Genomic DNA, 24,832 nt, shown 5'->3' with positions numbered 1-24,832 from the left:
GGCTGGCTCCAGGCCAATAGGACGCTTCTGGAGAGCGATAGGGTCTCGGAACTGTCTGTCAAATCCGGAGGCGTAAACCGGGCCGCGATTCAAGTTTTTAATTGGTCATTACAGCTATCACTTAGCAGTCTAGAGGCAGGTCTGTATGCTCCCGCCGAGCTGTCATAGGCCGGCGCGTAGGAGTCAAGAGCGCGGAAAGAACGTGCCCCAAGCAGTTTGGTTGAGGGCCGAGGAGTGACGTGTCGGTTTGCGGACCCACGGGGAGTCGCAGTGGGAAGGCGCGGCCCACTGACTCCCGTCATGTGACAAGAAGCGGAAACTACGCTGAAATAGGCCCTTGCTCCAAGTCCCAGTAACTCGGAATGCGGAGCCGCTCGTCTCCCGTCTTTTTTAAGGTAGAAATTGTTACCTAATACAAGGTGAAAGGAGAGGAGGGAAGCATTTTCTACCTATTTATTCTCAATTAAAACTCAAACGCGGACTGGTCCAGACAGTTCGTCTTTTGCAGGATGTGCCTGATAGTTGACTCGAGCTTTTACTGTGCCTTGGTAACTGCGATGGACCTGGGAACCTTGACAGAGTTCACAGCCCCTGGTTTTGTGAAAGAGCGTGCCTAGGCCTAAAGGGGTTGTCGGGGCTAAGCTGGAAGCATTTCTACTGCCAGCTGAGACAGCCACCGCCGCGGAGGCACAGCCCTCCCCAGCAGCAAGCGGGCTTCCTCGGGAGACCGGGAGGCAGCCCGGCCATGCTTAGTCAGTTCAGCCCTTTGTTAAAATACCGGCCAGAGAGCCGCTCTCCCTATCCTAACTTGCCTCTCTTCTCTCGCACCCCACGCGCTCCCCGACCCCCAATAAGTTTGCTGAGGGCAGAGAAGGGGACGAAGTTTGAGCAGCAATTCCATCATCTCAGACTCGCACGTGTACACCTTTATCCTCAGGCACTTCCACTCCCTGCGCGCCTCGGTGAGCCAAGGCTACACCAGAGAGAGTGGGAACGTCTCGCAGCTCTTCGAACTTGTTGCCTCTACCACTCACGCAGTTTCCTATTCTCCCATGAACGGAACCCACCACTTATTGAAAGGTCATTATTTAAATCACTGCTTCAGAATCACATGCATTTTTTTCAAAATCCACATGACCAGGCTCGCCCCAGGACGTTATGATTCAATAGATCTGCTTTTTTTTGGTTTTGTTTTTAGTAGTAAGTGTTCGATGTAATTTTACTTTAACAAAAGGAAACTGAAGCTGAGCCTGAAGGAATTACAGAACTTGGAGTAAATGCTTCTTCAAAATACGAGTTTTGGTCGGGCGCGGTGGCTCACCCCTGTAATCCCAGCACTTTGGGAGGCCAAGGCGGGCGGATCACGAGGTCAGGAGGTAGAGACCATCCTGGCCAACATGGTGAAACCCGTCTCTACTAAAAATAGAAAAATTAGCTGGGCGTGGTGGCGCGTGCCTGTAATCCCAGCTACTCGGGAGGCTGACACAGAATCACTTGAACCAGGGAGTCGGAGGTTGCAGTGAGCCGAGATCGTGCCACTGCACTCCAGCCTGGCGACAGAGCTGGACTCCGTCTCAAAAAGAAGTTTTTTCTCTTTAAAAATAAAAAAGCGGGGAGGGGGGCATTAAAATTAGAAAGATTGTGTTCAAGTTTCTTTTGTTTTTTTTTAAGTATTAACCTAAGAATATTAAGGCCGGTCGCGGTGGCTCACGCCTGTAATCCCAGCACTTTGGGAGGCCGAGGCGGGTGAATCACCTGAGGTCAGGAGTTTGAGAACAGCCTCACCAACATGGTGAAACCCCATCTCTACTAAAAATACAAAAATTAGCTGGGCTTGGTGTCAGGATCCTGTAATCCCAGCTACTTGGGAGGCTGAGGCAGGAGAATCGCTTAAACCCAGGAGTTGGAGGTTGCAGTGAGCCAAGATCGCGCCATTGCACTTCAGTCTGGGCAGCAAGAGCGAAACTCCGTCTCAAAAAAAGAAAAAGAATATTAAGATGTTAGAGTTTTTATTAATTTTTTTCAAAGTAGGCCAGGCGCGATGGTGGGCTCCTGTAATCTCAGCTACTCAGGAGGCTGAGGCAGTAGAATTGCTTCAACCCAGGAGGCAGAGGTTGCAGTGAGCTGAGATCACGCCATTGCACTCCAGCCTGGACAACGGAGCAAGACTCTCCCACCAAAAAAAAAAAAAAAAGTATTAAACATGTTTCTTAGAATACATTTAAGCTTCCAAGTGATCAAATTAAGTAAACCTTTTCACAAGTCAAAATGTACTATTAAAAAACAAAGTTTGGGGCCGGGTGCAGTGGCTCACGCCTGTAATCCCAGCATTTTGGGAGGCCGAGGCGGGCGGATCATGAGGTCAGGAGTTCGAGACCAGCCTGACCAACATGGCGAAACCCCCGTCTCTACTAAATATACAAAAATTAGCCGGGCCTGGTGGCAAGTGCCTGTAATCCCAGCTACTCGGGAGGCTGAGGCAGGAGAAATTGCTTGAACCTGGGAGGCGGAGGTTGCAGTGAGCTGAGATCGCGCCATCACACTCCAGCCTGGGCAACAGAGGGAGACTCTGTCTCAAAAAAAAAGAACAAAGTTTGAAAATCTAATCCTATTTTTAGGATGAGTCTTTGATACCAGTCCATGAGGAAAGGCTTATTTGTGAATAAAATCAAAGGAAAACAAACTCATAGGAAAGTCTTTATAATTATTATAAACAAACCTGGAGGTCCAGGTGTCGTGGCTCAAGATTGTAATCCTAGCACTTTGGGAGGTTGAGGCGAGAGGATGGCTTGAGGCCAGGGGTTGGAGACCAGCCTGGGCAACATGATGAGATGCAGTGTCTACAAAAATAATTTTTAAGAATTAGCTGGACATGGTCGTGCTGGCCTGTAATCCCAACTACTGAGGAGGCTGAGGCAGGAGGATTGCTTGAGCCCAGAAGTTAGGCGGCAATGAGCTATGATCACGCCACTTCACTCCAGCGTGGGCAACAGAGCAAGAAAGACTCTGTCTCTAAAATAAAATAATAAATAGGCCGGGCATGGTGGCTCATGCCTGTAATCCCAGCACTTTGGGGAGCCAAGGCTGGCAGATCACCTGAGGTCAGGAGTTAAGGACCAGCCTGATCAACATGGAGAAACCCCGTCTCTACTCAAAATACAAAATTAGCTGGGTGTGGTGGCACATGTCTGTGATCCCAGCAACTCGGGAGGCTGAGGCAGGAGAATCTCTTGAACCTGGGAGGCGCAGGTTGCCGTGAGCCGAGATTGCGCCATTGCACTCTGGCCTAGGCAACAAGAGTGAAACTTCGTCTCAAAATAAAAGAAAATAAACCTACAGTTTATACGTGAATTATAGTGTATCAGTTAATCCTCCTCCCTCCTGATTTATAAGTCCAAAAGTTTTGAACTGGTTGTTTCAGAAAACAATGCTTTTACTATTTCATCAGTTGCTTAAAAGGAATGTTTTGATGTAGAAGTTAGAACTTTTTCGTAGAGCTTTTCATTTTTCTTAAAGCGTCAGTTTACCTTTCTTGTATATCATTAATCAAACGAAACTCATGCCTTCATCTCATCTGTAGCACACCAGAGTAATAGTATCTGTGTTCTCCAAGCTGTTCTCTCCAGAAACCACGTTTCTACGTGTGTGCAAAGTTGTATTACTGGGATTTCCCCTGAATGCACTTCTGGATTCCACTGTTTCGTGTTATTTGGTTGGGTGTTTTGTCTTAATAAGACATAGTTCTTTTTCTTTTTTTTCATAGATTATCATCTGATAAGACATCTTGCTATTTCTTAGATTTATTTTTCACTTTTGATGAATTTTTTTTCAAGTAAGTGTTTTAGAAAGGCTGAATGGAAGCAAACATTGCCTTTGCGTGTTAGAAAATATCTGTATTTTGTCCTTAATAGCATGGCTGGGTTTAGAATTTTAGGAACAAAATTGGGACCCACCCACCCCACCCCGTATGCACACAGACACATAAAAGCACACTTTCAAGCCTCTGTGACTATATTGTTCGTGATCCACTGTGCCTTAAGAAACCTGACACCAATCTGAGTCACTTTCCTTTATCGGTAATCTATTTCCCTCTCTGATAAATTGTCTTTCCTTAGAGATTTCATCTATGTGTTTCACCTTCTTTCATTTTTTTCTGCTTTACATTTGGCAGGCCCTTTCAGTCTGAAAACTACAATTTGTATCATCAGTTCAGGAAATGTTCTTTGATTTTATTCATCTCCATTTTTCTATTCTCATTTTCTGAAGTTGCTGTTGGACAAATGTTTTATCTCCTGGTTCTTGGATACCTCTACCATTCTTAACTTTTTCTTGATCTTTTTGCTGTATGTTCTGGAAGATTTCCTCAATATTATCTTGCAGTTCACTAATTTAGCCTCTTCAGTGTCACTTTTTTTTTTTTTTCCCTTGAGACAAGGTCTCATCTGTCACCCAGGCTGGAGTGCAGTGGCACCATCTCAGCTCACTGCAGCCTCAACCTCGTGGGCTCAAAGGATCCTCCTGCCTCAGCCCTCAAGTAGTGGAAAACACAGGTGCGAGCCACCACGGCTAATTTTTGTATTTTTTTGTAGAGACGGGGTTTCACCACGTTGCCCAGGCTGGTCTCAAACTCCTGCGTTCAAGCAATCCACCCACCTCGGCCTCCCAAAGTGCTGGGATTACAGGCGTGAGCCACGGCGCCCGGCCAAATCTGTTCTTACTTTATGGATGCAGTAGCTTCTGAAATCTCTGTGAAAATAGTTACTAGAATTTTTTAAATTACCTTTTGTTTCCATAATTACTTAAATTTCCTCCAGAGCCAGGTGTTGTTATTTGTGTTTTGGAAAAGCTGCTGAGCTGATTCCGATGTTGATTCCTCGTGAAGAGGAATGATTAGAGGAACTTACCTAAATGATTAATTGGTCATTGTTTTCTTTCTCTAGGTCTCAAAGCACTACAGAATATTTAAATTTGAAATCAGAATGAGTACAAGGAGAGGCTGAACATATGGGCTAATTGCTCATCTTACTCAAAGATTCCCTGAATTCCAGTGTTTTATCCAGCTTTGAGACCTATGGAAAAATAGCTGATCATGTAATTCTTGAAATTTTTGCATAGTCATTTGCTTGTCAGTCTCTCTCACTGGACTGTCAGGTCCTAGAAGGCAGTAATCATATCTTTTTGGTTCACCCTTGAGTCCCCAGTCCCTTGCTCAGTACCTGACAGAGAAGGTGCTCAAATGCTTGTTACGTGATTAAGTCATAATTCCCTCACTTGATCCTTCAGTGGTTCTGCAGACTCATTTTAGGTCCATCCAAAATTTGTACTGGTGTATGGCTCTCGTTGTTACAAAGGTGTAAATTGCACTGACCTGAAGTCAGCTTCCTTTTAACTGCTGTAGGTTATACAACTTTGGCAGAATATCGTTTTGTTTTTTTTATTTTGAGATGGAGTCTCACTCTGTCGCCCAGGCTGGAGTGCAGTGGTGCGATCTTGGCTCACTGCAACCTCTGCCTCGCAGGTTCAAGTGATTCTCCTGCCTCAGACTCCTGAGTAGCTGGGACCACAGGCGCGTGCCACCTCGCCCAGCTAATTTTTTGTATTTTTAGTAGAGACGGGGTTTCACCATGTTAGCCAGGATGGCCTCGATCTCCTGACCCCATAATCCGCCCGCCTCGGCCTCCCAAAGTGCTAGAATTACAGGCGTGAGCCACTGCACCCAGCCCAGAATATGTGAATAAAAGGTGAGATGACTGCTAAACTATCTATTCCACCCCACTACTGATGAACAGTAACCTTCACCAGAGCAATCTCAATGATGGAGGTAAACACACATAAAGGAGCAGAATGAACGTACTACTGCTGTAATCAGAAAATAAAGTACTATTTGTGGGTGGAAAATGAGGAGACAGTGAATGGACAACTGTAGTTGCCTTTTCTCTCATAGATGCTATCCTTTTATTAAGTGCAGAGCAGTTAACACATCAGTACATGAATGTGTCATTTACGTTTCTAGCAGACTTAACGTACTCAGATCTAAAGCATCTACTTTCTAATTTTGAGAGTTGCTATAGCAGACAACTCAGCTCTATAGATAGAATAAAAAGGCTTGTGTTTTCTATTACATATACCTGTCCAAGCTGTGATGTCTATCCCTTGAAAAGTGCTTCTGGGAACAATTCCTCAGATCCTACTGGTTTTGTGATTAAAACAAACAAATTTTCATTTTTAGTTTTGTGAGCTCCCTTGTTTTTGGTTACTAATTATTAGTCTGCCTCAAACAGGTATTCTGCACTTGGCAAAAATATAGTCTCTTTTTGACCCATTTCCTAATCACTGCTCTCAGTGACAATACCCTCGTGAAAGGCAGGAAAAATTTACACTGCTTTGTGTATATAACTCATTTGAGATGGTCACATTTCTCTTATCACAGATATGCCTAATCTAGCCTTTATACAAAAGGCTTGGCTGCTCAACTGTGCTAATAAAACTCTGGAGATTCCTCACTTCCAGTCATTTAAACCTTTACACATTTTCTATAGCCAGGCACAGTGCTGGGGATAAAAATCATATACCTTCATCCACTCAACTTCCCTCACCCTTTTTTTCCCCCGCAAAACAGAGTCTCACTCTGTCACCCAGGCTGGTGTGCAGTGGTGCGATCGTGGCTTACTGCAACCTCCACCTCCCAGGTTCAAGCGATTCTCCTGCCTCAGCCTCCCGAGTAGCTGGGAATAGAGGTGTACACCACCATGCCCAGCTAATTTTTGTATTTTTAGTAGAGACAGGGTTTCACCATGTTGGCCAGGCTGGTCTTGGATTCCTGACCTCATCATCCACCTGCCTTGAGCCTCCCAAAGTGCTGGGATTACAGGCCTGAGCCACCACGCCCAGTCTCCTTCACCCTTTTAAACCAAACTGAGATGTTTCTATTTTTTTTTTCAATAGTTTATGAGATGCTTCTAAATGGTACAAATATAAATTTCAGGAAGCAAAGATGTGACTGCTTAAATAACTAAGCCTACTTTTAAAACTTAGTTTTAAGAAACTAAGCTTAAATAAGGCAATCACTTATCACTTACAAGCTGATGAAATACTGAAGTCTTCTGCAAACCACACCCATAGCAATCTGGAAGTAGTCTGCAATACTATTGTTAAATGACCAGAGATGTCATAGGAGAATGTTGGAAGTAAACCTTACTTTAAACCATGTCTTTTACAATTTTTTCTGCCCAAGCTGGAAAGTGTTCACTTCCAAGATGCCTACCATTTAAAAACCCTCCTTCCATCAACCGCATAAACCTTCAAACTTGGTTTACAACTCTCAGCAACAATTTTTTTTTAACCTTTTTTTTTTTTTGAGATGGAGTTTTGCTCTTCTTGCCCAGGCTTGAGTGCAATGGCACGATCTCGGCTCACTGCAACCTCTGCCTCCTGGGTTCAAGCAATTCTCCTGCCTCAGCCTTCTGAGCAGCTGGGATTACAGGTGTGTGCCACCACGCCCGGCTAATTTTTTGTATTTTTAGTAGAGACGAGATTTCACCATGCTGGCCAGGCTGGTCTTGAACTCCCAACCTCAGGTGATCCACCTGCCCCAGCCTCCCAAAGTGCTGGGATTACAGGCATGAGCCACCATGCCCGGCCTAACCTATTTTATAGTTAATAGAGACGGGGTTTTACTATGTTGCCCAGACTGGTCTCGCACTCCTGGACTCAAGTGATCCTCCTGCCTTGGCCCCTGCCAAAGTGCTGGAATCCCAGCCATCAGTTACCATGCCTGGCCCCAGCAACAATTTTTAATTCCATATTTTATCTTGCACATAGTAAAGGTCTCTGTTAACCAGATGTTTAACGGCTTCCCTCGATTAATACTCAATACACCAATATCTAGGAGGGTCTTTCTCCCTTCATGAATATACAGTAGCGATATACATATAGACTTTAGAAAAAGTAATAATCTGACTCTTCTACCAAATATAAATGTGATTATAATCATATAATCCAGGCTTTCTCAGGGAACATTTTTCAGGGCTAATTTCTCAAAACTGTAACTAAATTATCCAAGACAAAGTCTTATATTCCATGAATACATTTCTCGAAATCAAGATTTGCAAATTCAACCATTAGACACTTTGTGGGAAACCAGCTCATGTTTAATTGTGACATTTTAAAATTGTACAGGTATTTTGACATCTGCCCCCCACATTTAGTCTCTCAAAATGACAGGAAAACAACCAATCACAGGTTTAATACATTGACCCCTTCAGTTCCTATATGCAGCACCCAATATTCCTTTGAAATATGAAATAGACCTGGCAGTGGCCAACAGTAAATTTCTGCCCGCTGCCTCCCACCACCAACGGAGTTGAAAAGTTCAGGTTTAGTGTTGTTGTAGTGGCACTTGTCCAGAATTGGTACCTCCCCATAGTTGGGGGACTTTAAATGTACCAATGAAAATAGCTTTTTCCCCTTCAAGGGGAAGAAAGAAAATCACTCCTCAAAACCCAGCAGATCTGGCTGTGAGGTCTTTCCTCCTATCTCATCTCTTCAGGCTTTTTTTTTTTTTTTTTTTTTTTTTTTTTTTTTGCAGTGGAGCAAGAGAGACCAAAACCTAACCTGAGTTACAAGAAACAAGACAGTAATGGCTATAAAGGGAGTGACCAGGAGCAACTGGGACACTCCTTTACCTCCCATATCCAATGTATGTGTTTCACAGAAAAACAACAAAATTAACAAATTCACAAAATACAACAGCTAGAATTACAAAATCCATTCATCCAAGGGTGGTAGAAGGCAGGATGGAAAGGTGGAAGGGTAAATGGCACAGGGAGAAAAACAAAGTGTTCCAATCAGTCCAGGCACAGGGACTGGCAAATGCTAGAAAATAGCTGCAGAAAAACCTGTGGTCCTTTCAGACTCACGGTGATGTTAAAAATCCACACACTGGTGTCAGGGAACATTCTGCCTTACGTGCACCAGAGACAAAAATTTCAATTCCTCAGAGAGAAGGGAATACGCAGAGGGCCCTTGGCAGAGCGGGTCCTGCCTTCCCTGGCAGGCGGGAGGTGAACAGGGAAAAGAGCTGCCACAGCTTCTTCCAATCCCGCCCATCCCCTTTGGATGGCAGGCAACTCAGTGACCTGCAGTAGCCTTCAGTTTGGCAGGCGACGGATGCGGTGAAGGGAACTTCTCTGCAGAAGTAGAGCTGCTCAGGGCCGACTGCAGGTAGACTGTCTTGTGGAAGAGTCTGTTGCTTAAGAAGACCACCAAGGAGAAGAGGCGCAACTGGAAGAGACTAAAAGGCAAGAAACCCAACTTGTTAGCTCCCCAGTTACTCAAAATTATTTCCGTTGTTTGACAACTTGACATTAAATTTAAAACTACACAGGGAAAGACAAGACAAATGAAACTTGATCAAGGAAATACAGATATTAGATACATGGATGGAACAGGCAACTAAAGAATACATTGGAGCCGGGCGTGGTGCCTCATACCTGTAATCCCAGCACTTTGGGAGGCTGAAGCAGGTGGATCACTTGAGAAAAAAATTAGCAGGGCATGGTAGCATGCGCCTGCAATCCCAGCTACCCAGGAGGCTGAGGCAGGAGAATCGCTTGAACCTGGTAGGCGGAGGTTGCAGTGAGCCGAGATCACGCCACTGCACTCCAGCTTGGGTGACAGAGCGAGACTCCGTCTCAAAAAAAAAAAGAATGCATTGGGCCCTGCTGCTGCCATGAATGTAATGCAGTCACCAGCGTTGAAGTATTGTGGCTCTTACAGGAAATAGTTATATTTTAGATTAACTTTGATTTGAGAAGTACTTTTCTATGGCTGACTTCGGGGTACAGACTTCAAGCTATGTCTGAAGGTATCATATGCTATCTGTGGTTGCAGGAAGAAGAGTTTCAAAAGAAAGTCAAATATTCCTCTTAAGATAAACAGTGAGCTGTGCTGTATAGCAAGAGCATACAAAAACCCAAAGCAGACCTAAGTCTCTAATACAAGTATCCACACTGACTTAACCAAAATTGATCAAAGATGAATTGAGCTTTTCTTTGAAGTAATAAAACTTTTAGAATGCTATTATTATTGCTAAAAACTCATTTTAAAGTATATTTTACTACTGTTATCAATAAACTCATGTGGCCAGGTCATACAGCCCTCTACTTGAATATGTATAATGGGATCGGTTTTGGAAATATATATATACTCATGTGCATATATGCATGGAGAAAAGTTTGGGTTATATCCCAGAAGTGTTTCTCTCTCATTAAACCTTATATTAAGATTTTCCTACAGTAAGAATTTTTTTTTTTAAAAAGCCTCACTGACATAACTGGTGTTACAGCCCCAACCCTTTACACAGCAAAAATTTCATCACTGGCTAATACTTACTATGCTTTGCCAGGGGTCTTTGCTTCATTGGCGCTGATAATGAATAAAGGAAAGAGGATAGAGAAAAGGCAGCCACTGTTTAAAAAAAAAAAAAAGAAATAATTAGTCACCTTCATAACAGACATGACTTTGAAGAAGATATTAGAAGCTCCAAGTTCTTTTGCTTCCAGTGTAAACATTATGGCTTGATGAAACCTCAATATTTCAAACATTTTTTTTTTTGAGATGGAGTCGCGTTCTTGTCGCCCAGGCTGGAGTACAGTGGCAAGATCTCAACTCACCGCAACCTCCGCCTCCTGTGTTCAAGCGATTCTCCTGCCTCAGCCTCCCAAGTAGCTGGGATTACAGGTGTGTGCCACCACGCCTGGCTAATTTTTGTATTTTCAGTAGAGATGGGATTTCACCATGTTGGCCAGGCTGGTCTCGAACTCCTGACCTCAGGTAATCTGCCCACCTCAGCCTCCCAAAGTGCTGGAATTACAGGCGTGAGCCGTGGCACCCAGCCCATCAAACACATCTTTCAAAAAGAACAGAAGATTTTTCTAAGCACTGGGCATGTTTAACATTGCTGCAGGGCTGGGCATGGTAGCTCATGTCTATAATCTGAGCACTTTGGGAGGCCAAGGTGGGTGGATCACTCGATGTCAGGAGTTCAAGACCAGCCTGGCCAACATAGTGAAACCCCATCTCTACTAAAAACACAAAAATTAGCTAGGCGTGATGGTGGGCGCCTGTAATCCCAGCTACTTGGGAGGCTGAGGCAGGAGAATCAGTTAAACCCAGGAGGCGGAGGTTGCAGTGAGCTGAGATTACACCACTGCACTCTAGCCTGGGCGACAGAGTGAGACTCTGTCTCAAAAAAAAAAAAAAAAAAAAAAAAAAAGAATAATTGCTTCAGGAGGCAACATAGAAAAAGAATATGGGATATAGGGACATTCAGACTAGATCTTCATGCTAACAAATGTAGAAATACCCTGCAGGTCTCCTGATGGACAAATGATGATGTAGAATGCGAAACAGAACGAAGCAAACAAAAGGCACTGACTTCATGAATTTTTATTTTTACTAGTCTCCTTCAAATCCCTGTAGCCAAATTACCTGATAATATATGAGGACTGCATTGCTGTGAGAAAAGCCAAGGGCAAACCAAACCCAAAGTAGTAAGGCCAATTCCTTTCTATGTTAGACAACCGCTGGTGCATTTCAATTCCTAAAACAAGAAAGCCAATACAATTAGATATTATATTTCCTTTTAGTCAAGTGACTAAGTAACTATGGTAGACAAACCATGAGTTTTAGGTACAGATTTTATTATTATTATTATTATTATTATTATTATTATTTGAGATGGAGTCTTGCTTTGATGCCCAGGCGGGAGTGCGGTGGTGCAATCTCAGCTCACTGCAACCTCCACCTCCTGGTTTCAAGCGATTCTCCCACCTCAGCCTCCCAAGTAGCTGGGATTACAGGCGCCTGCCACCTCGCCCAGCTAATTTTTGTATTTTTAGTAGAGACAGGGTTTCACCATATTGGCCAAGCTGGTCTTGAACTCCTGACCTCAGGCGATCCACCCACCTTGGCCTCCCAAAGTGTTGGGATTACAGGTGTGAGCCACCACACCCAGCCTAGGTACAGATTTAGAACAGAGCTACAGCATATAAATTAGAAGTGTACAAATCTGATATAAAGCATGCAAAGTTTCTTAGAATTCTATAATCGTAATTTCAAAGCTGACAGGCTAAGTGAATTAAGAATTTCAGCACCAGCATCCTTTGTCAGGATTAGTCTGGAACTAAGCAAGATAGCAAATCAAAAGGATGCCATCCTGTAAGTATCAGTTAACCTCTTTCAACCACGCACACCCTGGTAAATATCTGAAGGTCTTTCTAAAACACCCCCAAAAGGATCCAGATGCTGACATCAATTTGACTTCTCTAATTTAGAGCAACTCATGCTCATTTATGCCATCTTACAACCCAGTCAGAGATATACCATGTTAAGCACCAAAAAGATAATGCCATACTACCACATCCCCCAGCCTCAAAGTTGAGAGTTAAACCCACTAAGCCGAAGGTAAGCTCCCTCTTGCCAATGAGGCTGCTTCCCTCAAAGGATTGTTTGCCAAAAGCCTGACTATGAGTAGTTTAAGAAGTCTGCTTAGCAGTAGCATTTCCAAACTGGGCCTCCATTTTCTGGATTTCTTTAGATGGACTTACCTTTATTGAACCAACGATATTCAAAGCAGTACAGTGAGTAGAGAAGGGACATATGCAGGAGACTAACCAGCTGACCGACAAGATGGATGGGAAAGAGACTCACAAACATTCCCTGAAGAACAAATATGGAAAATCTTAATCCCAAAGCCTCGGAAACCTAGCACCATTCACCTGTCACTCTCCAATCACTGTCTGAGATAGCTTCCTAGCTGCTTCTCAAGTTTCTAAAAGGCCGAGTGCAGGGTGGGCACAGTGACTCATTCCTGTAATCCCAACAGTTTGGGAGGATGAGGCGGGAGGATCTCTTGAGGCCAAGAGTTAAAGACCAGACTGGGCAACATACTGAGACCCTGTCTCTACAACAAGATTTTTAAAATGAGCATGATGGCATGTGCCTGTAGTCCCAGCTACTCAGGAGGCTAAGGCAGGAGGATTGCTTGAGCCCAGAGTTTGAGGCTGCAGTGAGGTATGATTGTGCCACTGTACTCCAGCCTAGGTGGCAAAATAAGACCCTGTCTTTTATTTATTTATTTATTTTTGAGACAGTTTTGCTCTTGTCGCCCAGGCTGGAGTGCAATGGCGCGATCTCGGCTCACTACAATCTCTGCCTCCTGGGTTCAAGCGATTCTCCTGCCTCAGCTTCCCGAGTAGCTGGGATTACAAGCATGTTGCCACCACGCGCAGCTAATTTTTGTATTTTTAGTAGAGATGGGGTTTCACCATGTTGGCCAGGCTGGTCTCAAATGCCTGACCTTAGGTGATCCGCCCACCTCGGCCTCCCAAAGTGCTGGGATCACAGGCATGAACTACTGCGCCCAGCCGACCCGTCTGTCTCTTTAAAAAAAAAAAAAAATTAGGCATAACTATAAAAAGAAAAAAAGTTTCCACCTGGCAGGACTGGAGAATAACCAGAGTAGCAGAAAAAAGCAGGTAAATTCATGTTTCTTATAATTTTATAATGTAATTTTAAAATTCTCATTTCCGTGGGGAAAAAAAGATTTAAAAATCATTACCTCCCACCAGCATATATATAATACTCTGTATAAATATAATACTCTGTCTTTGTGAAGTTCTCTCTAGTGAAACAGTTTTTCTTTTTAATAAAGCTGCCCATATGCCCAGAAGGTCAGTCTCACCTGAATGAGGAAAAGAGCCTGCAGCAAAAGGTTGAAGAGCATGTCAGCAATTATTTTGCTGACACTAGGGAATGGGTGAGGCTTCCTCCCTGATACCTCAAATGCCAGGTCAGCTATATCCTGTAACAGAGAAAGTGTACCAAAACATGAATTAAATGGCCTTGATATACATCCCCAAAGCTAAGGCCACTAGTCCGCCACTAGAGCTGCCAGTTAAGAAAAGGCTTATTTAAAAATAAGCTGGGCACGATGGCATGTGCCTATAGTCCCAGCTACTCAGGAGGCTAAGGTAGGAGGATTGCTGCCTTATGCCGTGGCTCACGCCTATAATCCCAGCACTTTGGGAGGCCGAGGCAGGCAGATCAGCAGGTCAGGAGTTTGAGACCAGCCTGGCCAACATGGTGAAACCCTGTCACTAATAAAAATACAAAAAAAATTAGCCAGGCATGGTGGCACGTGCCTGTAGTCCCAGCTACTTGGAAGGCTGAAGCAGGAGAATTGCTTGAACCCGGGAGGCAAAGGTTGCAGTGCACTCCAGCCTGGGCGACAGAGTGAGACTGTCTCAAAAAAAAAAAAAAAAAAAAAAAAGCCAAAACGAAAAAGAAAAGGCACCAGACACCTGCCAATGAGATGCTGAGACAATAATTCCATTCTGTAAGAACACAAAGATCAGCTACTGGCTACCTGGCCAAGAAACATTAAGGCTGAAAAACAGGTCCCCCTACATGCCCACTAACTTCACAGGCTGAAACTTGTCACCTGTCAGCCAATCATGCTGCGGGACCCAGACTCCATTCTGCCCTGGACCTACCTGAAACCAAATGGCATTCACCACTTTGCTAAGCACAAACAAGGGGAGCACCCAAAGAGCACTGAAAATTGACGTGAGGAAGAATTCCAGCCACGACCAAACATCTCCATGTAGTGATGGGTCACCTAAGAAAGAGGAAACGAGTTACTAGAAATGGAGAAATGGAAATCCAGAAGACCAAATGCGGAACCCCCATCTCGTGACTATTCTCTGTCTCCTCCTGGATCTTTCTAGTTCTTGCCAGCACATCACTATACCTATCTCAAAGAGTCTAACTCATAATAGACGCACCACATTCTGGCCACAATTCCAATTCAAAGAAACCATAGATATGTGCTGCTTGACACAAACCTGCTTACATGATGGTAACGAGATGCCACAGTGATTACCAGTACGCTATCTGCAGGATACCATCTGGGTTTAAATCTCAGCTTTGCCTCTTACTAATGGTTTAACCTTGGTAACTTGCATTTCCTCATTCATAAAATGGATAGAACAACAGTACCCATTCTTAAAGGGCCTCTAGGAGAATAACGAAATATAAATTTTTAAAAAGAATAAAACAACAAAAAAGAAAATAAACAGTGAAAGCTCCTGGTACACAGGAAATGTTCAGTAAACTGAGGGAGACTGAAACATCATCTCCCACTCTGTCCCCAACAGACAAGGAGCAGGGTATACACTTACCGATAATTCGGGCTGTTACCGACTGAAGCACAGGAATAAATACTCGATAAAACAAGAGGAGACTGAACTAAAGAAAAGAAGCAACAAGGCAAACATCAAAATCCAGTCTTTAAAACAGGAGCTTCAATTTTTAGTGTAATGATTTTATAGATGGGAGTGACTTTTATAAATCAGGAGGCCTAGGCCGGGCGCGGTGGCTCATGCGCGGTGGTTCACTTTGAGAGGCCAAGGCAGGCAGATCACTTGAGGTCAGGAGTTCGAGACCAGCCTGGCCAAGATGGTGAAACCCCGTCTCTACTAAAAATACAACAATTGGTCGGGTGTGGTGGTGCATGCCTGTAATCCCAGCTACTGGGAAGGCTGAGGCAGGAGAATCGCTTGAACCCGGGAGGCAGAGGTTGCAGTGAGCCAAGATCATGCCACTGCACTCCAGCCTGAGCAACAGAGCGAGCCTCCATCTCAAATAAATACATAAATAAATAAATAAAATAAATCAGGAGGCCTGAAAAAGCACCAAAACTGGATCCATTTCTATTTCCCAACACTCCAATTGAGAGATACAAACTTGATATTGCCTATAAAACAATGAAACTTTTGGGGGCATACAGGAACATTTCAAGTAGTATTCAGGCCAAAATACAGGCATGTACTAAGTACACAGGAATACATATTAATTAAATTTAAAACTAACATCTGAAAACATCTGTGAATTGTTTAGATTAAGAAGTGATGAATTACTCTAAATTCTAAGTCAAAGGAAATATTTATCCATTCTTCAAAGTACCCAAATTTCAGTTAAGCCTGCACTGGGATTCTCAGTAAATGGTAGGCAATCTTTTCTGCTATAGGTTTCAATGCAAATTAACTCTTGTTGATCACTATAAGCAGAAGCAGGGAGAACCTTGTTCTTGTCTAGCCGTATCTGCCCTTCCCGAGTCCCCATAGTTGCTGTTAGCATTTTAAAATGTCTAGACAGTGTCAAGAGAAACTGCTACCTCTAATACTTGTGAATGAGTCATTTTAGAAACAAAATTCAAGTGTATATTCAGGGCTGTGACGTTTGCTTACATATAAGTGTGCTTTCCTGAGTGGGAATAAAATCTCTGCAGATGCACAGACTCCTGAGTTATATTTCTAAGTGTACATCAGCAGATGAAAACTATTTGTCTCAGTGTTTCAAGAAAACAGTTCATAGCTATCAACCCAGCAACAATCTGAAGATGCTTATAAGGCACCTGGAATTTAAAGAACTTACCCAGAACACTCCACCATTCCAAGCACAACACTGGAAAATTCTACTAACAATACGTGGCTCACTGGAAAAGATCACATGTATTTAGTTTATAAAGCATAAGTTATTTCCTAATTGTCATTCAGTAGTTCATTTTATATCTTATCTTTTGTGGGTACTGTATTATTTTTCAGTGCCTCATGTTCTCCCAATGTTCTAATGTCAGTCAATGAGAAAAGACTAAAAAAATGGTCAAGCGCAGTGGCTCACGGCTGTAATCCTAACACTTTGGGAGGCCGTGGTAGGCGATCAACTGAGGTCAGGAGTTCGAGACCAGCCTGGCCAACATGGCAAAACCCTGTCTCCACTAAAGAATATAAAAAATTAGCCAGGCGTGGTGGTGCGCACCTGTACTTCCAGCCAGCCGGTTCGCTGAGGCAGAAGAATTGCTTGGACCTGGGAGGCAGAGGCTGCAGTAAGCTGAGATTGCACCACGGCAATCTCAGGTGACAGCTTGGTGACAGGGCAAGAATCCGTCTCAAAAAAAAAAAAAAATGTGTATATATATGGAACCAGCTTTTAAAAGAAAAATAATTTATTTTCTAAAGTCTGATGATGGAAAAGATTAAGAGAAAGTGTGGGGCCAGGGTTCTTCTATTAATACATAAATCCACACAGGCTTCCCTAGAAGTATCTATCAAACCAAATAATATTTTGCGATTCTCTATTCAGCTTTCTGATTTAACACCATGACATTTTTAGCAAGGATTATTGTTAGACCCTAGTTTAAGTCAATGTTGTTGGGGGGAAATCACTTGCAACATTTTTCTGGGAAAAAGCACAAAAGAAATAAAATGGCACTGAAACATCAAGTCACTATGTAAGGTCTTCCCTCCCTTGGACATTTTGATATCAGGCATGCACTCCTTACCTCTCTTGCTTCCGCTCTATACTCTGGGCTCTTCTCTGTGCCAAGACACTACTTGCCCTTCTTCGACGCTGCTCCTCTCTCTTTTGCTGGATTCGAGCATCTAGCTTTGAGATGGTACAAATACCCCAGATGGAGTCTTTGATTCCCTATAGAAAAGGCTATCATTATTATTATTATTATTTGAGACAGGGTCTTGCTTTGTCACCCAAGCTACAGTGCAGTGACTCAATCATAGCTCACTGCAGCCTCCAACTCCTGGGTTCAAATGATCCTCCTGCCTCAGCCTCCCAAAGAGCTATGAGTACAGATGTGCACCACCACACCTGGCTTTTAAATTTTTCTTCTGTAGCGATGGGGATCTCACCATGTTGATCAGGCTGGTTTCATACTCCTGTCCTCAAGCAATCCTCCTGCCTAAGCCTCCCAAAGGCTAAGAATTCACTCATGCATCCATCTCCCACCCACGTACTGAGTATCTTCAATAAGCTATATATTGTCATATAGAAATGCTCAAGAAGCTTATAACTTAGTAGGAAAAGCACACAAGTAAACCAAAAAATTACATTAAAGGTTTTTTTTTAAAAAAGTTTTTAAATATGAAACATTTCATGAATTTGTGTGTCATGCACAGGAGCCATGGTAATCTCTGTATTGTTCCAATTTTAGTACATGTGCTGCAGAAGCAAGCACACATAGTTTAGTAAGTGCCACAACAGATGTATGGCCCAAGTAGAGTGTTAGCACTGGGGCATTCAACTTCATGAGAAGGCAGAAAAAATTATTCTGGAAGCAATGGCCAAGCTGGATTTAAGAATGGATAGCATTCTCGTCTACTGTTATCAGACAAAACGAATTTTAGAAATAATAGCTGGAATACAGAGAAATGGGCAAGTTGATGTATTATCTGTTAACAGGAACATAAATTGGCACAGTGTGCCTTTGATCTTTTTTTGTCTGAGTAATTTTTACTCTTAATTTTGCTTTTAACTCAGGAAACTCCAACTATCTAAGATAGTTAAGTTCAAATGGCTGAGGGCCTAGTACATGCTAGGATGATAGGATCCCCACCTCTAAGACATCTACAGTCCAGTGGGGCAGACAAACATGTAAATAGCACACTGTAGAACCAACACAGGGTTGAATTTTTTTTTTTTTTTAAACAGAGTCTTACTCTGTCGCCCAGGCTGGAGTGCAGTGGCATGATCTTGGCTCATTGCAACCTCTACCTCCCAGGTTCAAACGATTCTCCTGCCTCAGCCTCCTGAGTAGCTGGGATTATAGGCATGTGCACCACGCCTGGCTAAATCTTTTTTGTATTTTTAGTAGAGAGGGGGTTTTGCTGTGTTAGCCAGGCTGGGAGGGTTGAAATTTTACAGCACATGAATGGCAAGACAACAAGGTAAAGATGTTAAAAGTAGATCATATGCTGCTGGGCACGGTGGCTCATGCCTGTAATCCTAGCACTTTGGGAGGCTAAGGTGGGCAGATCACCTGAGGTCAGGAGTTCAAGACCAGCCTGGCCAACATGGTGAAACTCCGTCTCTACTAAAAATATAAAAATTAGCCAGGCGTGGTGGTGTGTGCTTGTAATCCCAGCTACCTGGGAGGTTGAGGCAGGAGAATCACTGGAACCCAAGAAGTGGAGGTTGCAGTGAGCCGAGATTGCACCACTGCCCTCCAGCCTGGGCGACACAGTGAGACTCTGTCAAAAAAAAAAAAAAAAAAAAAAGGAGATCATATGCATAAAGTCTTTTTAGACCTTCTAAGATACTCTTTCAATCCTCCCTCTTTTACTCAAAAGTAATAACCTTTTTACTTTCTTGCCCTGCTATAGTGCACTGGTACCATCATAGTTCACTACTGCTTCATACTCCCAGACTCAAGCAATCCTGCCTCCTTGGTCTCCCAAAGTGCTGAGATTACAGCTGTGAGCCACCTCCCCTGGCCATAAAGGTAACCTTTTAAACTCTTCCACTAAAGAAAGAACCTCCCCACTCCAAGAATTGGCCTCTTTCATGCTAGTGGAAATATAAGAGGGGGTTACAAGTGAGACATTATTAGGCTTCAGACATACATTAAAAGTAGCAGACTTTTGTGCTATTGGTAATTTGGATGACTGGGTCCTAACCAGATCTTTATAGGGCATTTTCCTAGAGTATCCTCCTCACGTGCACAGCTTGTAGAATGGGGAGAAAAAAGGTTCTGGCAGGTGCAGTGGCTCACTCCTATAATCCCGGCACTTTGGGAGGACAAGGCGGGTGGATCACTTGAGCCCAGGAGTTTGAGACCAGCCTGGGCAACATGCCAAAACTTCGTCTCTACTTTTAACAGAAAAATTTTTAAATAAATGAAAAATTGGGAAAAAAAAAAGATAGGTTCTCTAATTTAAATCTGAATTAATTAGTTTAGGTGATAGTACTGAACCAATGTTCATTTCTTAGTTGACAAATATACCACGGTTATATGTTAACATTAAGGGAAGCTGATGAAGGACATACAGGAACTCTCTGTACTACCTTATAACTTTTCTGTAAATCTAAACACATTCCAAAATAAAAAGTTAAAAAAAAAAAAAAAAAAAGCTCTGAAGCCAAGATGATTAGGGTCCCAATACTGGAGACATCCACCGAAGAGGTCTTCCAAGCACCTGCAAGACTGTCTGCAAGATGTAGAACAATACCTATTTCTTGAGTAGTGTGGTCTAGAATAACAACCTTTATGTAAAGAACCCAAGAAATATGATAAAAGTTCCAAAAACCCTAAAGGATTTCCTAGATGGTTCCTTCAGCAAAAAAAAAAAAGGCCGAGAGATGAATTCCTATAAACAAGATGTACTCACTCTGGCAAGGTCCTGGAGAAAGGTTTTGACACTGTCAGCCATCTCTTCACCACCAAACTATCAACTACACACAGGAGAGAGAAGTGTCCCCAAATCTCTCATCATGAAGGATCTGGAAACAGATGGAACATAATGGAGGCAAATATTTATTTTAAAGATAAGTTACTTCATGCACATTTCCACATGATGACCTCACATACTTGTAGCTCTAGTAAGATAGCAGTAGATTCTAGCACTAATAGAGTGAATCAAGTGAAGCTATTCCTGTACAGCTGAAACCTAAAATCCCTATTTTTTTTCTAAAACACTCACCACCCTTTCATTTTTACAAGGGGTTTTACATTTTACACCCTCTCATTTTTACATTTTACATTTTTACAATGTGCTCTTGACCAGTAACCTCCTCTGAGCCTCAATGCCCCTAACTATCCCTCCTACACATTCTAAGCACTTTTGAGGGTTTGGAGATGGAAGATAATTACATTTCAATATCTTCTTAAGCAATTTTTATGTTTGCTGGATACCTTCAAATACTTGAATGAAAATACAAGAGCAAGATAAAAGTTCTTACAAAAATTACTAAATACATGCTTCAGTCATACAGAGCCCTCGGGCACAGTAAAGTTTAAGGTATGACATGAAATTGCGTACCAAAACCTCCAAATAGGTCTTTTTTATTTTATTTTATTTTTTGAGACAGAGTCTCGCTCTTGTTGCCCAGGCTGGAGTGCAACACTGGGCTCGGCTCACTGCAACCTCCACCTCCCAGGTTCAAGTGATTCTCTTGCCTCAGCCTCCCGAGTAGCTGAGATTACAGGAACCCGCCACCACGCCCAGCTAATTTTGTGTATTTTTAGTAGAGATGGGGTTTCGCCATGTTGGCCAGGCTGATCTCAAACTCCTGATCTCAGGTGATCCATCCATCTCAGCCTCCCAAAGTGCTAGGATTACAGGCATGAGCCACCACGCCCGGCTGGTCTTTTCTGTTTTCTAACTTTAAATATATACAGATACAATTTTAATAAACATGCAATAAATAGTGGATTTTAAACTAGGCCTCAAAAAAGTTCATATGTATAAACAGTCTTTAAAACAGTAAGGCTTTCCCATTTTATTTCTCAGGTGAATGGGATATCTAGTTTCAAAAATTAAGAACTTGAGAGTTCATGTGAGAAATACTTGTAATTAATATACTATTCTCTCATTTAATCTGTGGTGACTTCTAAGATGAATAGAAAACCCACTTTCAGGCATTTTTTAAGAACCTGATATTCTAAAGTTCTCAACACTCACTCAATCAAGTTGCAGTATTCTCAGTTTAAGAGGTATGACCATAATACAAAGACAGAATTTCACAAGCAGCTTGTACAAACCTTAAATTTCAAAATATAAGCACACTTTCCCCGACCTTTAACCACTTCACCAAACTGCTCCTCATTGACCCAACTGGACTAATGCCATTCAGAACTGGAAGAGCAGGGGATATGGCAGTAGGAAGGCAATTTGCCCAACATTGTATATACCCTCTGCTCCTTAGGTCAAATCCTACACAGATAGGCTCACTTCGGATAGAAGTCTCTAGGGTAAGAAACTTCTGTTAATACTCCCACTGTTTCCTCCTGAAAACAAACACCTCAGAGTTCCAGTCGCGTAGGTACAGCCATACAGACATGTTCTCAGGGTTGAGGTGAGGGCAGCTGAGCTAGATAACTAGCAAAGGCTCAGTGATATGCACGACACTAGTTTGTAAAGACTCACAGATCCACTCCCGTAACCTGCCACTGGCTCATCTATAAATTAAGGGTACTAAACTTCTTCATAGGTTTCTTGCATCTAATAGGGCACAACAGCATGAAAAAAACTTAAAATTCTATATAAACACAACCCCACCAAAGTGAGCCAGCTTGGAGGTTTAAGGAAGCCCATTACTTGGCCTGGATTTCTCACAGGGAACTGACAGGGAACCTGAAACATTCTGTCTCAGTCCACAACAGCTGTGTCATTTGATCCCTGGCCAGCTAACACCTGGTTTCTGCATGTACCAAGTGGCAGGACACCTCCTAAGAGTGACCTATGAAGGATAAATCACTTCACTTTTATACTTAGATCCTAACATCCTTCCTACAGGAATATTTGGTGAATTACCCAGTCTGACAAATAGCTGAGGCATGGGGAAAAATAACCTGCCACAATTTGAGAACACACACACAGACTGAATGACACAGGGGGAATCCTACAGCTGAGCTAGACAGATGAAGATGCATCTGGCTCATTTAACAGGTGAGAGAACCCAGTCTCAGAAGTTAAATGACTTGCCCAGACTGACAGCAAATGAATGGCAGCTACAGTGAACCTCAGAACCCGGTGTTCTAACGTTACCTCGGTCGAGACTTGTTTTTACTTAAGCTTTGCAATGAAGATTTTTGTTTTAACACGAGCATCCCATGGACAAATAACCTCTCAAACCTGGAAATACAAATGCCATTAAATTCCCAACAGTCATTAGAAGCTAATAAGCATCTGCTGAGACACACTTTTATTTCTAAGTCACTAAACCCAAGTCTCGGCAAACAGGAAGCTGTCGTAGCCCACTCCAGGTACAGGGAAGGTAAACATCCTCACTTCCCACGGGGCTCCACGGGCTGCCTCTGAGTCCACGGGTCCATTCAGGCCCATCTCCCCACAGCTCCTAGGCAATTCGGCAGAAAACTGGTCTCCCTAGGCACAACTGTGCACGAGGTACGGATCACGCGAGGTGCGGATCACGCACGCTCCGGGTCACACAGGGAGCTAAAGATAGCTGCGCCGCACCTGGGGCAGCCTCGCCCGGGGATGTGCCCGGCCCCGTCCCGCTCCCTCCGGCCCCTTCCCATAAGGGGTCCTCGCCGGTAGCCCCACCAACCCACGCTCGGGCCCTGCCTGCCCTCCCGGTCCCTGCCACTCAGAATGGGCGGCGCGGCGGCCCCGAGGCCTAGCTCGGCTGAGCCCGCACCTACCCACAGCTCCGCCGCCGCGGCTCCGGCCCTGCCCCTAGCCCACCGCAGGCCAGCTCCGCCGGGGCGCTTCCAGGGCCGGGGCCGCTGCGCCCGCACTGGGCATGCCCGGGCCGCACGGGGCCGCTGGGAAGTCGGGCGAGCGCGAAGAACCAGCCGGCACCACGAGGCGGGGCCCAGAGCCGAAGGGGTGGGCCGCGCGGAGCGACGGAGACTGGGAAATGTAGTCAGTCCGGGGTCCCGCCTCGCGCTGCGTGCGGGATCGTCCGGCTCCCAACTCCGCCTGGCGGCGGAGAGGACCCCTCACCCCTCCGCGTCGCCTCCTCCCCGTCGCCTCCTCGCCGATCCCGTTCTCACAGATCTCTCCTCCTGTTCTTTGCCCTCCCCCATTGACTCCACAACGCTGCTTGCGTTTCTAAAATCCTGTGAAATTAGTAACAGGATGCCTTTAATCCCAGCATTTTGGGAGGCCAAGGCAGGCAGATCACGAGGTCAGGAGTTCAAGACCAGCCTGGCCAACATAGCGAAACCCCATCTCTACTAAAATAACAAAAATTAGCCAGGTGTGGTGGTACCTGCCTGTGGTCCCAGCTACTCAGGAGGCTGAGGCAGGAGAATTACTTGAACTCAGGGGATGAAGGTTGCAGTGAGCCGAGATCACACCACTGCACTCCTGCCTGGGCGACTGAGCAAGACTCAGTCTCAAAATAATAATAATAATAATAAATTTAAAAAATGAAATAAAATAAGTGGCTGGGCACGGTGGCTCATGCGTGTAACCTCAGCACTTTGGGAAGCTGAGGCGGGCAGATCACTTGAGGCCACCCTGGCCAAGATGGTGAAATCCCGTCTCTACTAAAAATACAAAAAATTAGCTGGGCATGGTGGCACACACCTGTGGTCCCAGCTACTTGGTCGGCTAAGGAATGAGAATCACTTCAATTCAGGAGGCAGAGGTTGCGGTGAGCCGAGATCGCACTACTGCACTTCAGCCTGGGTGACACAGCTAGACTGTCTCGAAAAATAAAATAAAATAAAACAAAACAAAACAATATAAAATAGAATAGAATAAGGAATCCATCTACTAAAGCTTAGAAATCTTGTTACAAAGAGACCTAAGTGGTTTAATGACAAACTGATTATTGTGCTATTAATTATAATAATAGCTCTTCCTCCAAGCTCTATTCTTTCTCAAGAGTGTCAATTTAGAAAAGATTTTAGAAAGAATTTAGTAGGTATGAGTTTATTCTGGCTTACTTCATGGGAGGAAATCTTTTTTTTTTTTTTTTTTTGAGACTGAGTCTGTCTTTGTCTCCCAGGCTGGAGTGCAGTGGTGCGATCTCGGCTCACTGCAAGCTCCGCCCCCTGGGTTCACGCCATTCTCCTGCCTCAGCCTCCTGAGTAGCTGGGACTACAGGCACCTGCCACCAAGCATGGCTAATTTTTTTGTATTTTTAGTAGAGACGGGGTTTCACCGTGTTAGCCAGGATGGTCTCGATCTCCTGACCTCGTGGTCCGCCCACCTACAGCCTCCCAAAGTGCTGGGATTACAGGCGTGAGCCACTGCGCCTGGCCGGGAGGAAATCTTTTAAATCT

At 43.9% G+C, this 24,832-nt stretch overlaps 2 protein-coding genes, 1 long non-coding RNA gene and 1 pseudogene across 9 annotated transcripts in view, besides 6 other annotated features; 1 reads left to right on the top strand and 3 right to left on the bottom strand.

The window, feature by feature from the left end:
- STT3A (STT3 oligosaccharyltransferase complex catalytic subunit A) overlaps positions 1-1,044 on the bottom strand; it is a 31,323-nt gene extending 30,279 nt beyond the window's left edge. The window contains exon 1 of the mRNA XM_047426897.1: positions 926-1,044. The gene's annotated coding sequence lies outside the window, so the exon portion shown is untranslated. The remainder of the gene's footprint in view (positions 1-925) is intronic.
- Positions 95-689: an enhancer, noted in NCBI's record as "H3K27ac hESC enhancer chr11:125462019-125462613 (GRCh37/hg19 assembly coordinates)". NCBI's record gives its function as "activates a minimal SCP1, AML or CMV promoter by ChIP-STARR-seq in primed H9 embryonic stem cells {active_cell/tissue: H9 hESC(primed)}" and the evidence as "EXISTENCE:reporter gene assay evidence [ECO:0000049][PMID:30033119]".
- STT3A-AS1 (STT3A antisense RNA 1) lies at positions 245-24,705 on the top strand. The gene is made up of 4 exons (NR_132372.1): positions 245-395; positions 19,239-19,357; positions 22,371-22,523; positions 24,695-24,705. It is a non-coding gene; the product is annotated as an STT3A antisense RNA 1 (long non-coding RNA).
- Positions 807-976: an enhancer, noted in NCBI's record as "active region_5699". NCBI's record gives its function as "activates an Ori minimal core promoter by ATAC-STARR-seq in GM12878 lymphoblastoid cells {active_cell/tissue: GM12878}" and the evidence as "EXISTENCE:reporter gene assay evidence [ECO:0000049][PMID:35858748]".
- On the bottom strand, positions 8,129-23,336 carry EI24 (EI24 autophagy associated transmembrane protein). 7 transcript variants are annotated; one of them, NR_110770.2, is made up of 12 exons: positions 23,240-23,336; positions 20,244-20,355; positions 17,405-17,504; positions 16,498-16,558; positions 15,243-15,309; positions 14,907-15,077; positions 14,556-14,680; positions 13,745-13,864; positions 12,609-12,720; positions 11,491-11,602; positions 10,393-10,467; positions 8,129-9,292 (listed from the first exon to the last, which is right to left on the bottom strand). NR_110770.2 is itself a non-coding variant. In NM_001438416.1 (12 exons), exons 3-12 carry the CDS (start codon positions 20,283-20,285, stop codon positions 9,130-9,132), a joined length of 1,023 nt encoding a protein of 340 aa, NP_001425345.1. In that variant the 5' UTR covers positions 20,286-20,355; positions 22,623-22,709; positions 23,240-23,336; the 3' UTR covers positions 8,129-9,129. The 7 variants fall into 7 exon arrangements, 5 of the variants coding, with proteins under 5 accessions (NP_001425345.1, NP_001317348.1, NP_004870.3 ...); NM_001438416.1 differs by lacking the exon at positions 14,907-15,077 and adding an exon at positions 22,623-22,709 and having other exon boundaries at positions 17,405-17,550; NM_001330419.2 differs by lacking the exons at positions 11,491-11,602; positions 14,907-15,077 and adding an exon at positions 22,623-22,709 and having other exon boundaries at positions 17,405-17,550.
- On the bottom strand, positions 17,995-18,094 carry RNU6-1156P (RNA, U6 small nuclear 1156, pseudogene; annotated as a pseudogene).
- Positions 22,619-22,668: an enhancer, noted in NCBI's record as "active region_5698". NCBI's record gives its function as "activates an Ori minimal core promoter by ATAC-STARR-seq in GM12878 lymphoblastoid cells {active_cell/tissue: GM12878}" and the evidence as "EXISTENCE:reporter gene assay evidence [ECO:0000049][PMID:35858748]".
- Positions 23,109-23,668: a silencer, noted in NCBI's record as "silent region_4041". NCBI's record gives its function as "represses an Ori minimal core promoter by ATAC-STARR-seq in GM12878 lymphoblastoid cells {active_cell/tissue: GM12878}" and the evidence as "EXISTENCE:reporter gene assay evidence [ECO:0000049][PMID:35858748]".
- Positions 23,109-23,672: a biological region, named in NCBI's record as "H3K27ac hESC enhancer GRCh37_chr11:125439037-125439538".
- Positions 23,171-23,672: an enhancer, noted in NCBI's record as "H3K27ac hESC enhancer chr11:125439037-125439538 (GRCh37/hg19 assembly coordinates)". NCBI's record gives its function as "activates a minimal SCP1, AML or CMV promoter by ChIP-STARR-seq in primed H9 embryonic stem cells {active_cell/tissue: H9 hESC(primed)}" and the evidence as "EXISTENCE:reporter gene assay evidence [ECO:0000049][PMID:30033119]".

Source organism: Homo sapiens, chromosome 11 (genome assembly GCF_000001405.40).
Source record: "Homo sapiens chromosome 11, GRCh38.p14 Primary Assembly".
Classification (NCBI taxonomy): domain Eukaryota; kingdom Metazoa; phylum Chordata; class Mammalia; order Primates; family Hominidae; genus Homo; species Homo sapiens.
This window is presented reverse-complemented; position numbering and strand designations above follow the sequence as displayed.

What these genes read in the sequence shown, in the direction of transcription:
- EI24 (NM_001438416.1), bottom strand. Translation starts at nt 20,285, where the DNA reads ATGGCTGACAGTGTCAAAACCTTTCTCCAGGACCTTGCCAGA. An exon ending in ATAGAGCGGAAGCAAGAGAG is followed by an intron (nt 16,559 to 17,404) that starts GTAAGGAGTGCA and finishes GATCTTTTCCAG; the next exon opens with TGAGCCACGTATTGTTAGTA. An exon ending in TGAATGCCATTTGGTTTCAG is followed by an intron (nt 13,865 to 14,555) that starts GTAGGTCCAGGG and finishes TCTCTGTTACAG; the next exon opens with GATATAGCTGACCTGGCATT.